The sequence below is a fragment of the Homo sapiens genome, chromosome 4 (assembly GCF_000001405.40).
Source record: "Homo sapiens chromosome 4, GRCh38.p14 Primary Assembly".
NCBI lineage: Eukaryota > Metazoa > Chordata > Mammalia > Primates > Hominidae > Homo > Homo sapiens.
Window position 1 is genome coordinate 100,201,843 of NC_000004.12, and position 16,658 is coordinate 100,218,500.

The 16,658-nt window shown below is 36.2% G+C and overlaps 1 long non-coding RNA gene across 1 annotated transcript in view; it reads left to right on the plus strand.

The window, feature by feature from the left end:
* The window catches only part of DDIT4L-AS1 (DDIT4L antisense RNA 1), a 25,473-nt gene extending 11,810 nt beyond the window's left edge, over positions 1-13,663 (plus strand). The window contains exon 5 of the long non-coding RNA NR_125924.1: positions 13,438-13,663. This is a non-coding gene — a long non-coding RNA (DDIT4L antisense RNA 1). The remainder of the gene's footprint in view (positions 1-13,437) is intronic.
* Positions 13,664-16,658: the final 2,995 nt, after the last annotated feature.

The window sequence follows — 16,658 nt, forward strand, 5'->3', positions numbered from 1 at the left end:
TAAGATCGTTGTCACTTCATTTTAAAAAGAGGAGACTAGAGTGTACTTCGTATATATAGGAGGATTGGAAAATTCTTGGGAAGAGTACTCAGTAAGTGGGAGCTATTAATCTTGTAGGTCAAGTTTATTGAGATATAATTTAAGTATGCTAAAATTCATTTTTCTTAGTATAGAATTCAATGAATTTTGAATGGTCCACACTGTCATGTAACCACCACCACAGTTAAAATTTATAACTGTTCCACCACCACAAAATATTACTTTGCGTGTATTTCTAATTAACCCCTCATCCCATTCCCAGTCCTTGGCAAATAATGATCTCTTCCATAGTGACATACAAATATCATTAAACAAGTATATAGATTTTTGAGTCTGGTTTCTTTCACTAAGAGTGATACATTTGAAATTCTTCCAGGTTGTTGTGGGTATTGGTAGTTTTTTTTTTTTTTTTTTGATTTCTGAATACAGTTTCATTGCACAGCTATACCACAATTTGTTTATCCATTTACCAGTTGAAAGACATTTGAGTTGTTTCCAGTTTTTGATATTAAACATAATCTCATTATGTATATATTTGCTTACAAGTTTGTATATGAACATAACATGTTCATTTCTCCAGAATAAATACCTAAAAGTGAAATGCTGAGTCATATGGTAAAGTGTGTTTAATTTTATAAGAAATTTAGCTAGGTGTGGTGGCATGTGCCTGTAGTCCCAGCTACTCCAGAGGCTGAGGAGGGAAGAAGATCGAGCCCAGGAGGTCAAGTCTGCGATGAGCTGTTATGGTGCCACTGTACTCTAGCCTGTGTGACAGAGCAAGATCCTATCTCAAAATAATAATAATAATTTCATAAGAAACTGCTAAAATGATTTTCAAAATGGCTGTTTCATTTTGTCTTCCACCAGCAATGTATGAGTGTTCCAGGTGCTTCATATCCTGGCCAGAACTTGATGCTGTCATCTTTTAATTTTTTTTTTTTTTAAATTTAGGCCCTTTTAATAGAATGTAACAGTAGCTCATTGTGGCTTTAATTTTAATTTCTCCTATAACCCCTGTTGTTCAACATCGGATTTTATAAGCTTATTTGCCACCCTTATATCTTCTTTGGTGAACTATATACTCAAATCTGTTGCCTATGTATTTTTATGGAATTATTTGTTTCCCTATTATTGAGCTTGAGAGGGCTTTATGTGTTCTGGATGTAAGCCCTTTATTAGATATGTGTTTTGCAAATGTTTTCTCTGTCTGTGGTTTGTGTTTTTATTCTAACAGCATCTTTTGGAGAAAAATTTAAAATTATGATAATGTCTAATTTATTATAATTTTATGGGTCATATTTTTGGTGTCATGTCCAAGAAATTTTTGTCTAAGTCAAGGTCACAAAGATTTTTGTTGTAAATTTTCTTCTATGTGTTTTATAGGTTTACATTTATGAGTATGATCTATTTTAGTTACTTTTTGTGTATGATACAAGGTATGAATTAGAACTTTTTTTACATATAGATTTCCAGTTGTTCCAGCACCATTTGTTAAAAACCAATGCTTTCTCTATTGAATTGCCTTTGCATTTTTGTGAAAAATCAATTGCTCATGTATAGTTACTCTATTTCTAGTCTTTATTCTATACCATGAATCTACATGTCTGTCTTTTCACCAGTATTACACTATGTTATAATACATCCTGAAATCAGATAGTGTGAGTCTTCTAAATTTGTTCTCATTCAGAAGTATTTTGACTTTTTTATTCTTATGCATTTTCATATATATTTAGAATCAGTTTGTAGATTTCAAAAGAAAATGTCTACTTGAATTTGAATGGAATTGCTTTGCAACCAGATTACTTTGGGGGAAATTTGCATCTTAATTCTATTGAGTTTTCCAACAATAGACATGATGTAGCTCTCTACTGAGATCTTCTTCGATTTCTTTTATTAGAGGTTTACCGTTTTCAGCACAGAACCTGCATATATTTTGTTAGATTTATAGCTAAGCATTTTATGTTTTTGATGCTATTTTAAAATTACAATTTCTAACTGTTTATTGCTAGCATATGGAAAAAATAGAAATACAGAAATACTATCTAGAAATGCAGAACTACAATATACAAAATAAACTTGACCTTGTTTTTTTCATTCTTGCTAATATCACTTATTAGTTCTACTAAGTTTTTGGTAAGTTCTTTGAGATTTTCTCCACAAGCAATCACGTTCTCTAAAAATAAGGACAGTTTGGCTGGGCGCGGTGGCTCACGCCTGTAATCCCAGCACTTTGGGAGGCCGAGGTGGGCAGATCACGAGGTCAGGAGATCGAGACCATCCTGGCTAACACGGTGAAACCCCGTCTCTACTAAAAATACAAAAAATTAGCCGGGCGAGGTGGCGGGCGCCTGTAATCCCAGCTACTCGTGAGGCTGAGGCAGGAGAATGGCGTGAACCCGGGAGGTGGAGCTTGCAGTGAGCCGAGATCGCGCCACTGCACTCCAGCCTGGGCGACAGAGCGAGACTATGTCTCCAAATAAATAAATAAATTAATTAATTAAAATAAGGACAGTTTTAGTTTTATTCCATTCATTCCACTCTGGATGCTTTTATTTTATTTTTTTGCTTTTATTGCACTGACAAGGACCTCAAGTACAGTGTTGAATATGAGTAGTAAGAGAGGACATTCTTGCCTTGTTCATACTCTGAGAGGGAAAGCATTCAGTCTTTCCTCACTGACTATGAAGTTAGCTGGAAGTATTTTTGAGATGCTCACTTTCAAGTTGAGGAAGTGCTCCACAATCCCTCTTTGCTGAGAGGTTTTATCATGAGTGGATGTTAAACTTTGTCAAATATTTTCTCTGCATCTTGTGAGATGATTATATGGTTTTCTACTTTAATTTATTGATGTGGTGAATTATATCTATTGATTTAAAAATGTTCAACCAGATTTACATTTACTGACATATTTAGTCATGGTATGTTGTCTTCTTTTTATTCCTGAATCCACTTGCTCATATTTTGTTGAGGACTTTCACTTCAATTTCAATAATATTCCTCCTGTTTCATGAGGAATATTATTGGGAGTTTTCTCTCCTTTCTTCCTTTCTTGTTCTATCTTTGTCTGGCTTGGGTGTCAGTACAGTGCTGGCCTTATTGAAGATTTTTATACAGTGTTTCCTCTTCTTATATTTTCTGAGAGAGTTTGCATAGAATTGGTGTTCATGCTTTTCAGTTTAATTTTAAATACCATATCCTCGGAAAGACTTTCCTAACATTCCAATCTAAATTAGATTCCTTCTGTCTTTTAGTGTCTTTTTTCTTTGTACATTTTATTATAACTTATAAGTATATACATATATTTTAGGCTTATTTCTGTAACGTTTTCATCTTGTTCCAGGAGTCCAGGCCCATTTCTCTGTTGTTCACCATGATATGCTCATTCTTTGCGCAGTGTCTGATACTTAATAATTATTGGCTGAATAGATAAATACATCTCTAGAGTTTAAGAAATGTCATTATTTATTATTTATCATTACAGTGGTGAGTATTATACCTATAATTGCTTACTATGTATGTGTGTAACTTTACTATCGTGGCAAGGAAAGCACTTAACACACAATCATAATGGGTACTAAAAAACATAATATTGTAATAGAACTAGATCATTGCTTACATAGTGAATTATAATGTGGAGCTACAGTTTCCATAAATTACTTTAATCCTGATAAAAATGCTTTTATATTTTGTCATGTGTCTTGAAAAAAAGACCCAAAATTTTGTGAAATGTTAGATCTCGCATTTAGCCTTTGCATGAAAAAAAAGAATAATTTAGTAGAAATGGGATTTTAATTATTTAGCTTTCAGAGATCAAATATGATAAATTTAAATGAAGAATTCATGTTATACAATACTTTGAGTATTTTCTAACTTTCTTTTTTCAAATAAAATCTACAAAATATGCTTTGGTAACACAAATAGCAATTGGTCAGAGCAGGAAACTACGGAGCATGTGGTCCCAATTTTGGGGCACAGAAGCAGCCTTATCTGCTGAGGCATACAAAGGAGAAAGATTAAGGAAGTGTTTACAATTCATTCTAGTGGCTTCCATTTCAAATAATTTTTCAACTTATTCCCAGTTAAACAACTGCTGGAAGTTCTCTTTTCCAGTAGCATCAGTAGTTTTGGAGGGTAGAAGAGAAATGATGCCTATGGTTAGCTAATTGAACATGCTATAGAAGTGTTACATGAAGTCGAGCCTACAGCTGTCTCTTTACAATTTTAAGTTCAGCCTAAAGGCTTCTCTGTACGTAGTGAACTGTAACTTAATTAGACATGTAAACAGGCGGTAACCTATTCTTCTACCAATCACTGGGTTTCAGCCAATCCAAGACAGACAACTGTTAAAACCATGTTTAAGTAAGGCAAATGCCAAGCTGTAAAGAATCCAGCTGTTTTTGTGCTCCACTTCCATTTGTGCACATTTTCCTTTTTCTTTTCATAAATATTCTTCAACCATTTAGTGCTGGAGTATCTCTGAACCTATTCTGGATCAGGGGCTGCCCCATTCCTGCATTGTTCTTTGCTTAATTAAAGTCTGTTAAATTTAATTTGTTTAGATTTTTCTATTTTCACAGAAGAGACCATGACTATATTAAAAATAAAGCAAAAAACCCAAAATCTAAATTAAAGCCAAATTGACTTTCCCTTGCCAGTTGAGTTTCATTCGTTCATTCTTTCAACAAACACAGAAAGCGTAATATGTAGCAAGTGCTATGACAGAGGATGGAGATTAAATGGGGAGCTGAATAAATGAAGTACTTCACAGAGCTTGAAGTTCAGTGGGAGAATAGGAACAACATACAGGAGATAACGGCAAGTGATGTTAAGTTCTTTGATATGGGATGTGCAGGGATTACAGTCGTACAAATAGGAGGAATATTCACCTAGGTAAGAGGCAGTTATTTGGGGAAGCTTTCCTATTTAAGCTGATGTTTGAAAGATGCATAGGAACTAAGTATGTGAGAGGAGGTGAGGAGTGGAATAAATGTTATGCACAGAAGAATCAATACTGTTAACAACAACCAGTATTTGGGGGCATTTACTACATGAGGTACTATGATAAGAATTTCATATGAGTAGTCATAATCTCATTTGATCTTTACAGTGACCCTATGACTTGGGTGTTACTGTTATAAATTTAGAAATGAGGATGAGGAAACTGGGTCACAGGGAGTTTAGAAACTTGCCTCAGGTTACTCAAGTAGAGCCAGGATTTGAAAAGTGTTGCTCTATGAGTGGCTGGTTTCAGGAGAGAAGTTCAGAATAGCTGAAGTGCATAATGTGGATGGATGGAGGTTGTTAGAGGAGGGAAGTGGGGAAATGATGAGGAATGAGATTGGAAAGGGAGGATATGGGAGTCAGATTCCAAAAGGCCTTGCAAGCCTCATAAAGGAGCAACTTGAATATCACTTAAATGTTAGCCATCCTAATTACACTTTAAATTCCTGCTTTAAAGTATTTCTGGAGCTCCTTTATCTTACTTGATGTAGTGTAGAATATAGTCCTGGCTCAGCTGCCATGACTTAAACATGACAGACTATATTCTAGTAGAAACTGATTTTGGTTGAGAAGTTTTTATACCTTTGAGTAAAATAATCAGAAAAACTTCCTTATAGGAATTTATATCTTCCTGACAAATAGCATTCATTGTCTATAGTTATTTTTGCTGAAGTATATTTATTTTATTTTAATCTTTGGGTTAGATAGGACACAATGGACTGTTCTTTTTTGTTGTAAGAGTACCTCACAAATAATCTGTTATAAAAAATAAGGTATTACGTTTTGTGAATGTTTAAATGTAATTTACAAAGTAAGTTCAGGTTCAAAATTTTCCCTATATGTAACCATTATATTAGAGTTCTCTTTTTGAGTGGGAGAGGAAGGGGAGTTATTTTTAGTATGGAGGTGTTTTATGCATGAAAGTGACATTTTTCAAGCATATTAATGCAAATGATAATTGACAAAAAGTGTGGTGTTCTGAGGGACTGGAGGGGACTCCTTAAATCAGGAATGAGCTAGTGGGTACAGGAGGCTATGTCCTTAACCCTAGCCAATCATATTATACTCAAAGAGCCAGGAAAAAGAGTATATGTATTAGGATTCTCCAGAAAAACTGAACCAACAGGAGACAGACAGAAAGACAGACAGACAGATAGATAGATAGATAGATAGATAGATAGATAGATAGATAGATGAGGTGATCTATTATGGGAATTAACTCATGGGATTATGGAGGCTTTTCTGAAATGAAATGGAAGTTTTGTCTTTGTGTTTGCTTGAGTACCTGCTTGGGAACCCTGACCTTAGTTCTAGGAATGCAACAAATTCTAATTTTTGGTTTGCTAATTCAGGGTTAAAGAAAATCTTCTACATTTCCACTTTATGATCAACCACCTTAAATGTTGATAAAGGAACCTGTAAAATTATGAGTGAGGTGAGGGGGAAGGGTAAATATGGAAAAAAGAAAGGTAGCTTCCCTTGATTTATTAAACTTTCATTTAGTTACAGGGTTTATGAAGGAGCCAAGAGAGTCAAGGCAGCTTTCTACAAATTGAGCTGTCGCATTCATTCTCTCATACACTAGAGTTGCCACTTAAAAATATTAAAAAAAAAAAAACAAAACAATGTTGACCATCTAACAGGACTAGTTGACTCAGCCACCAACTTACCAAATTGCTTCATTTCTGGAAGAATTCCAGCATCTGGGAATTTGAGTTTTTCTAGAAGTCGGCTTGGTAAAAGTGGGTCAGTCCCCTGGGACTTTGTCTCCTCTTACAATAGGAAAGCCTTGATCTGACACAGCACAGTTGGTCTCCTTACAGGTCCGCTGAAGTCCATGAGATACAGCAGAGTTTGCCAACACTATTGGTGAGTATTTGTTCACTTTGGGATTAAGACACCTCGTGAGTCTCTGCATATGGCAACATTCTTCAACAAATATTTTGTATCTAAACAGGGAGAGCCCTTGGTAAAACCATAAAGTAGGTGAACTTTACCTTTCGTGATCCTCTACACTTCTTCTCTGTGCAACCTGGGGTCCTGTGACATTGTAAAATATGTATTTGGCTTTTGACTCTTGTTTCCTGGCATGCAAATTCTAAAATGCTTACGTCTTCCAGAGTGATGGTGTTTGTGTATGTTAATGATTAACTGATGGCTGGATGCCCTTAGGTAGCTTTAGGATGGGGGTTGGTCACCAGAAAGACAAGGGTGGATTAGAGGGTTGGGACTTTCAGCCCCACCCCTGACTTCTGGGGAGGACAGAGAGGCTGAAGTGCTGTGAGGTAAAAACAACTCAAACTGCATTTTTCCTCTGCTCTCACACCACAATAACCACAATCAACACAGAAGGCTTCTGTGACCAATGTGTGGGTTTTCCCCCCACATATGAATTCTACAGCAGTCATCAGCTAGGTGCCCTCCAATTCAGTTTCCATACTATCTACTGGAGACAGCCAATGGCCAATGGTTTAATCAATCATGCCTATGCAATGGCATAAAAACTCAGAAGGGAGGGATCAGAGAGCCTCCAGAGAGTTGAACACATGGAGGTTCCTGGAAGGGGCTGCACCCAGGGAGGGCATAGAAGCTCCACGCCCCTTTCCCCATACCTTGTCCTATGCATCTCTTCCTTGGTTTCCTTTGAAAAATCCTTTATTGCAAACCAGTAAATGTGTGTAAGTGTTTGAGTTCTGTGAGCTACTCTGGCAAATTAATCAAAATCAAAGAGGGAGACTTAGGAGCCCCAACTTGAAGCCAGTTGGTCAGAAGTTCAGGAGGCCCGGACTTGAGACTGGTTGCTAAAGGCAAGAGGGTGGGGGAGTTGATCTTGTGGGACTGAGCCCTCAACCTGTGGCATCTGATGGTGTCTCCAGGTAGATAGTGTAGGAATTGAATTAGAGGGCACCTAGCTGGCAGCCGCTGCATAACTGATTGCTTGTTTGGTGTGTGTGGAAGACCTCACACATGTTTGGTCATGGAAATTTTCTGTGTTGATTGTGGATGTTGTGGTGTGACAGCAAAGGAAAAATGCAGTTTGAGTTGGTTTGTCTTCACAGCGCCTTTCGCTCATTCCCACCCTGGCTACCTCAGCATCTTTGGGCTTTCTGATGTACTTAGCCTGGGAGTCCCAGCTTCTTCACTGTTGGAAAAGTTTGCACGCCTTTACGGTGCCTCATGCTCCAAGCCTTTCCCATTTACTTCAATTCCCCTTTTGAAACCGCCCAGCTTAGCTCCAATCCCTCAATGCTCTTATTTTTAGGAAACAATAGGTAGTGCACATCAGATATACTATAATTTTTGTTAACACATTAGATTGCTTTTATTTTTATCTGTCTTGCATAATATAATGTCAGCCTGGTTAGAAAGGTAGAAAATTAAAACATTTCAACAAACAAATGGGGAGGGCCTTTATAGGGCATTTGTTTCACATTCTTTAAGTAAATGCCTGCTCCTCAAATACCTAGAACTCATTTTGTGGTTATGTTTCCATTTTTCTTCAAGGTATTTTTGAGCAATTATAATTTAAGCATTTGGGGAGTTTTCAACATAAAGAATAATGTAAAATAAATAATGCTTTTACATGTATTCCAGGTAAGTCTTTAGGACTAAAAGTCCCAGAGACTATGCAAATTTTGTTCATCAATTTCAGTAGACTTTAAGATAAAAGCTAATCTAATTGTTTTACTTAACAGCTAAGAAACAGGGATTCAGGGACGAGGGAAGTCTTTATTAAGGTCACGGAGTTGTTTATTGGCAGAAAGGGAACCGGAACTCTGTTTTAATATGATTGATAGGATACATTTTATTTAAATAAAGATTAATAGCTTTAAATATTTATTACAAACATTGAGACATATTTCCAGTTATAAAGATAATTGTTTTAACACTATTCTTCCCCATTCCATCTATCCACTAGATCTCTAATTTGCTTTTTAAAATTACTTATTTATTTATTGTATTTTTAATGGGTAAATCATAGTTGTACATAGTTGTACCTATTTTGTTGGGGGTACATGTGATATTTTGATGCATGTATACAATTTATAATGATCAAGTCAGGGTAATTGGGATATCCACCACCTGAAACATTTATGTTATTTGTGGTAGGAACATTAAAATTATTCTATTCTAGCTATTTTGAAACATACAATTCCAGTTTCCTTTTAAATCTAACCCAAAATTCACCTTCCTGTAAGAAAATGTGTGATTATCTTACTTAAAATTTATTCAACTTGACATTTCAACAGACTTTAAGAAAGTAATTTTAGAATGTTTATGTTTAGCATGAATTTATTTATTTAAAGAGAAAGCTACTGTGTCTAGATTGTTTGTCTTATTTTCCCCATAAATAAACATGCTCCTTTTTCACTCCATAATACTCAATGGATGCTCTGAAAATGCTGGTGCCAAATTACTTTTGATTTCTCTCTTTTCCCCATATTGTTTTCTCTACCTTCTTTTTTCTAGGCCACCTTAGTCTGACAATGGAAGGTATAGTAGAAGTTAAGCGAAACATTCTCAGGGCTGATAACAGTTGAAAGTAATTTCATCTGGTCTTTTGGAGAGTGTGCCTTAAGGAAGATGGGTAGCTTTTCACGTATAGGGTATTCAAAGCCAAAAAAATGCAAGGAAATAGTCTAGAAGCATAAGAAAACTGGCTGTAAGGGGAGAAAAAAATTCTGGGAAGGTACAAGAAAAAAAATTCTGGGACGGTACAAAGGCATGAGGAAAACAGTGTCCAATTTAGATCAAACTTCTGTCTCCACCTTTGTATCCCTGCTGTTAATTCAAGAAAATGAGCTCCCAATTTAATTGTGGTGTGCGTATGCACCTGTTTAGCTGTGTGTTCAGAAAGCTCCTAAATTTTTGCACATCAAATGATTCCTATACTGCCCTGAAAGAATCAGTGCTTCCCGGAAAATCTCAAGCTTATTCCTTGGGAGTTTATTTCTGCCTGGTGGAATTTGATTCACCATCACATTTATAGTGGGTGTTTTGATTTTGTATTGGTGACTTGGGCACACAGTACATTTTTCTAGACAGTGTTGTCATGAAATGTGACTTGCAAAACTAAAGGCTGAAACAGCATTTAAAAAAATTCTTTTAGGCAAGAATTGAGATTGAATGTTGTACTATTTTTTAACACCTTTCTCTACCTTTCTTTGCTTCTGTTAGACTCTGACAAGGGTTTTTGATGCTTAAGAATGATTGGAAAAAAACATCAGAACAAATAAGATGCAGCATCTCGATTCCCTATCATGAGCTGAGGATGTAGGTTTTAGTCTCTTTCTTGGAGCTGTCAGAAGTGAAAGTCATGCTCATTCAAATTTCTTATTGAATGTAGTATACAGTTCTTGGGTGCTAATTGCCTAGGAACTCCATTTCCCCACTTCTGAGATAACTGGGTACAAGGGATGGGGTGAAGCAAAGATGATTCCCTGTTTCTTTCTTCTCTTCTTTCCTTCTATCCCCAGGGTGCAGGTATCAAGCCAGAAATTTTGTCTAATAGCGCTCAGAAATTATGCTATGAAAGGTGATTGGTGTCCGTAAGATGAACTTGTTTTCTTTTCTTTCTATTTGTTTTTGGTAATAATTTGTTATAAAGAATCTGACTGACCTAAACTTACCTCTTGAGATGGCCAGTAAAAATCATGCACCAGCTTTTCAGAACAAAGAGAGGAATAGTGACGATTGTGAACTTGAAAAGCCTCCAGGGTGAAGCCAGGAATGTGGGGGAAAGGTAAACGGGTTAAAAATATAGACATAATATTGGGAAGAAGGAAAGAAGAGGAAGGGAGGCCAGAGAAAGAAAGACTGCAAGATACTTAACCCAGACAGACTCGAAAGTAGTGCTTTTCAACAATGCCTCCCCTCCACTAGCAAAGAGTGACATTTGGTCATTTCTGAAGTTATACTTGGTTACCACAGCTTGTGTGGGAGGTAGGTGATACTGGTGTCTAGTGAGCAGGGCTAGGAATGCTGCTAATCATCCTTCAAGGTTCAGGATAGCCCCCACAACAGACATCTATCTAACCCAAATTGCCAATCATTGTGTCATTGAGAAATCTGCTTTAAACCACCTGAACAGGGATTCAACAGGGAAAATAATATTTTAAGCAGCTTTCATGTGTTCATGTGTGTATACAACCAGCATATAGTAGATTATTTTCTTTCTGGTAATGTACTCTACTTACATTCCCTCCTAGAACTTGTGGGCATAGCTGAAGATTTACATGAGTTTTGTTCCCCCCCACCCATTCTTTATCTGAGACTTGATATGTAAGCCTGAGTGCATACACTTTTTTTTTCTTGGCATATTAAATCTCTTTAGTCTTCCTACGTTATAGCTTCAGCAATTCCATTTAGAGCCTTTTACCAATCTCACCAGTAGAAAACTAATTCTCAAGAGTGCACTCCTTTAAGTACTGGATTTAGTTATTTTTTTCAACAAATATTTACTGAGGGCCTAATGTGTACAGGGCACTGCTGTAGATTCTTCACGTACATCAGAACATCAGTGAACAAAACAAAGATTTTTTGCGGATCTTATATTTTGTCAAGGAAGACAGACAATAAACAATAAACATAATAGCTAAGTAAAGGATATGATATGTTAGAAGGGGTGAAGAACTTTGTAAAAATTAAAAAAGAAGAAAAAGAAGGTAAGGCAGTGACAGTGGAGCAGCTGGTACACAGTATCAGCCAGGATATCAGGGAAGACCTCAGGGCTTTGTTACTTTTTCTAAGCTGCCATTTTGATTAGATTTATGGAGAAAAGTGGATGGTGCAAGCCAACGTTAAGTCATATAGCACAAAACAATGACGAAAATACCCCCTTGAGACATCTAGCTACATTATAATGTCCCTTTCTCCTCTTCAGTGTCTTTGATTCTGTCCTTTTCTTTTGAATGCCAAGGTCTTATTGGACCAGGGCTCTATGTGATTATTTTCTCTCATATAGATGGTTCCATTAGGAAGTGCCTTCCATTAAAAGCCTCTTAACTGACATTACATAGTAATGATTCTAGGACTGTGATGTTGTTTAGATTGTTCCTCAAATTAAAAGGGCACAGAAAATAACTTGCTAGTGAGTAACAACCATAAAATAATAGCGATTCGCAGTGTTCAATGGATAGTTTGAAATTGCACATCTAATTCCCTCAATTGTCTCTACGAAAATTGTGTTTTCAGAGTCATAAAATAGCATGGTAGTGTTGTATGCAATCTTGATAAATTAAACACTACCTATATCTTTTTTTTTGACAAGAGAATTTTCTTTGCTTTCACATTAATCACAAACTTACTTCTAAATGACAACACATGCAAATCTCTAGATTTCTTGGAATAATTATTTTGGAAATCTTATTGGTCACAGATTATCTCTGTTCTTGATGACGGGATAGCTTTGAAAGAATGTAAGCCAATGGCTCTTTATTCTAGCTAACAGCTTTACTGTAAAATTTCAGCCCGCATATACACAGATCATATAAAATTTTGACTTTGTTAACAGTCTTTCAGCGTCTTTGTTTTTATTCAGCCAATTTGAATTTCAGGGAGAATTCAGCTGAATAAAACATCTTATGTAAATTTTGTTTGATCTTGCTTACATTTTTACTCTTAATGAGGCACAGATTCTTAAATCAGCCAACTTGAACCAATACAGCAGAAAGGCGATGCACCCTAACACAGCCAGCTTTTCCTGTTCTAGGGGATTATGTTCTTAAGTAGCCCACTTTATTGTTTGTTGAACAAACATATCTTCCTTAGTTTTGCAGCTTTGGAAAATGGTTCTGATTTCCTGACAGCCTTGGTTGTCTAGAGCAGGACTGGGACTGAAGACCAAGTAACTCCTGCCCTTCCCCTTGTATGCAACATTCTCTGTTCCTTCCTTCTGCTGCCCCATTTCCCAGTGCTTTCCTGTCCCTGTTTCTGATTTTTGCCTGTACGCCGTGAATAGACTTCCCACTACATTTTTTATTTTACTCTCCACCTGTAAAAGCTACAATTCTCATGTCTACCATGGGAAAATAGGGCACATTCTTCAAAGTTCAACTCAAAAGCCGTTTTCTACTTGAACTCTTTGCCAAACATTAAGCTGGATGTCACTTTCTTCCTTCAAACTTCTCTAGCATTATTGTGGGTACTGTTTCTGTTGCCTCCATTCTCTCTCCCTTATTGTTGGGATAACTTGTGCACATCTTATTTTCGTTTCAAGTCTGTGAGCTCCTGGAAGGTGGAGACTGTGTCATTGTGTATTGTAGAGAGCACAGTTCAGCACCTGGACCAATTAGGAGACTGATTATTTTTAATTGAGTGCATGAGTATAGTATCTTAGGGAATATGCACTCACATTAGCAAAATACATTTTCTCTGTTTGCATCTCTTTCATTTCAGATTCCATAGGTAATCTGGAATGGAGGCATGGAGGTGGAAGTTCTGGACTCTTCTTCTCAATGTCTAGCTAACCTGGTCAGAGGCTTGCCAGAAGGGGCCCCGATAAAAGGAAGCTACACCCAAGATATGAGACAAGAATATGGGACAGTTAGCTTTGATCTCTGAATGTGTTGTGTATTGGTTTCAGTGCCCATCTCATAGAAATAAAATACTGCTTTATTCTGCATTTAATTCTTTGTATTGGAAAAGTCTTTATGTAAGAACATAACAGAAAATATACAGCCCTTTTTAAATGAAAATTTTATTGCATTAGAAGGAAATTATCATTAGATTTCACAGAAGAATAAAAATCTTTATTAGTCAAATGTCCCAAAGCAAAATTTTCTTACAATTTCATTAGATATAACTTCTTAAATTCTAAACTATAATTTGACTCACCAAATGCAATGTATTCATGTAGCTACCAAAGTTTAAGACATTCAGAAGGATAATAATAATAAAAACTAGTAAATATCTAAGCAATTTATCCAAAGCAATATGTAATAAATGCAAAAACTACTGCTGTCAAAAATGTATTTGTAAGCGTAAATCCAGGAGGAAATGTGCTAGGAAAGTTGCAATGTCTACGATACCTGCCATTTCCATGCCAAAACTTGCACACCGTTGGGTATGGGGTGCTTAACGATGTTGCATAGGAATTCTCACAGCGTCCTGTGCTGAACTCTGAGGAGAGTCTTTTCAGTAACCCTCGAGGGTGTTTCTCATGCCCAATTTATTCATGTAAAGGATAAAAAGCATTATTGCTAGAAGAGAACTTCAGGTTTAGGCAAACGACAAGCCAACCTCTGGATAATAAAGCAGGCAGGCAGAATGTGGCAGTGCATATTTGAGGCAGTCAATTTCAGTAGAAATTCATTAAGTAGAATGCTCCTAAGGGGACTTAGAGCAAGTATGTTAGCAGAGATAATAACGAAGGGCCCGGGTAAAAGGAAGCAACACCCCAAACAACACCAAAACAAGACAAGAAAACCTGGGGCATGCTTAGGGGAAACTTGGACGACATGTGAAGAATAAGACGAGACCAGAATGGAGACAAGCCCAAGAGCTAGAACCAAGGGTTTTCCTTGACATTTTTGGAGGAGAAAACAGAAGGGTGAGACTCTGAATTTGCATCCTTTGTAGATGTTCATGTAGATTTATACCTAAGGTAACTGTACCATAAATTGTGTATGGTTCTTTGTGCAGGGTATGGATTTACACTTTTCTGGAAATCTTTAGGTCATATCCACAAAGACTCAGTATAAAGAACCATTGTTTCTGATGGAATTAGCTGGCAATTTGAATCAAGATTTTTGTGTGAGCAGAACCAGAGGTAGCAGTTTCACAAATCCAATTAATTCACAATTAAAACTTACAATGGAAATGCAAAATTTTTATTACATTTATAACTAATTGGCTTTCTTCCAAAATCCTTATTTACTAATAGCAGGAAAAAAAATTAAATTTTCTGTATAGTTTAAAATGTTATTGATCTAATAATTTAAATTTTCAATTCATAAAATAATCTGCCCAGTTGTTCAGCAGCTTCCCTCTCTCCCTGCTTTTTTTCCTCAGACATGTATGGAGAAGGCGTATGACTTATGTGGTCTTGGGTGGTGGAGAAGACTCAGAGTCCTCAAACTAAATGTACCTTGGTGACTTGATATTGCTTGCCTGCTGTCATATACAACCGAAGTTTGTGGCCAATGTAATGTTACTTTGGTTAGGGTTAGGGTATATACAATATATTGTTAATTACAGTCAACCTACTCTGCTATCAAACATTAGAATTTATTCTAACTGTATGTTTGTACAACCTCTCTCCATCCTCCTCCCCGCCCCCAGTGCCGCCAAACACACCCTTCCCAGCCTCTGATACCCATCATTTTACTATCTAACTCCATAAGATCAAAGTTTTTAATTCCTAAATATGAGTGAGAACATACAATCTTTATCTTTCTGTGCCTGGCTTATTTCACTTAAGACAATGACCTCTGGCTCCATCCGTGTTGCTGCAAATAACATGATTTCATTCTTTATTTTGGCTGAATAGTATTTCATTGTATATATATACCATAATTTTCTATCCATTCATCCATTGATGGATACTTAGGTTGATTCCATGTCTTTACTTTTGTGAACAGTGCTGCTGCAATAAACATCGGTTCAGGTATCCCTTTGAAAATCTGATTTTCTTTCCTTTGGATAAATACCCAGTAATGGGATTGCTGAATCATACAGTACTTTATTTTTATTTTTTTGAGAACTCTCCATACTGCTTTTCATAGAGGCTATGCTAATTTACATTTCCACTAACAGTGTATGGGAGTTCCTTTTTATCCACATTCTGGCCAGCATCCATTATTTTATATCTTTTTAATAATAACCATCCTCACTGGAGTAAGATGACATCTTATTGTGGTTTTGATTTGCATTTCCCTGATGATTAATGATGTTGAGCATTTTTTAAAATATACCTGTTGGCCATTTATATGTCTTCTTTTTAGAAATGTCTATTCGTGTCCTTTGCCCACTTTTTCATGTGATTATTTGCTTTTTTACTGTTGAGTTGTTTGAGTTTGTCATATATTCTGAATATTAGTCCTTTGCCAAATGATTAGTTTTCAAATACTTTCTCTCCTTCAACAAGTTGTCTTTTCACTCTGTTGATTGTTTATCTGTTTTTATCTATTTATCTATTTTTGTTTTTGTTGCCTGTGCTTTTGAGGTCTTAGGCATAAAATCTTTGCTTAGACCAATGTCCTAAAGTGTTTCCTCTGTTTTTTTTTCTAGTAGTTTTATAGTTTCAGGTTCCATGTTTAGATCTTTAATCCATCTTGAGTTGATTTTTGTATATGGTGAGAGATAGGGATCCAGTTTCATTCTTCTACATAGGGATATCTAGTTTTCTCATCACCATTTATCAAAGAGGGTGTCTTTTCCCCACTGCACATTCCTGGTTGAAAACTGGTTGGCTATAAATCTGTCGGTTTGTTTTTGGGTTCTTCATTCTTTCCCTTTGATCTATGTGTCTATTTTTATACCAATACCATGCTGTTTCAGTTACTAGTGCCTTGTAGTATATTTTGAAGTCACATAGTGTGACGCTTCCTGCTTTGTTCTTTTTGCTCAAGATTGCTTTGGCTCTTCAGGCCCTTTTTGGTTAGAATTGTTTTTTCTAC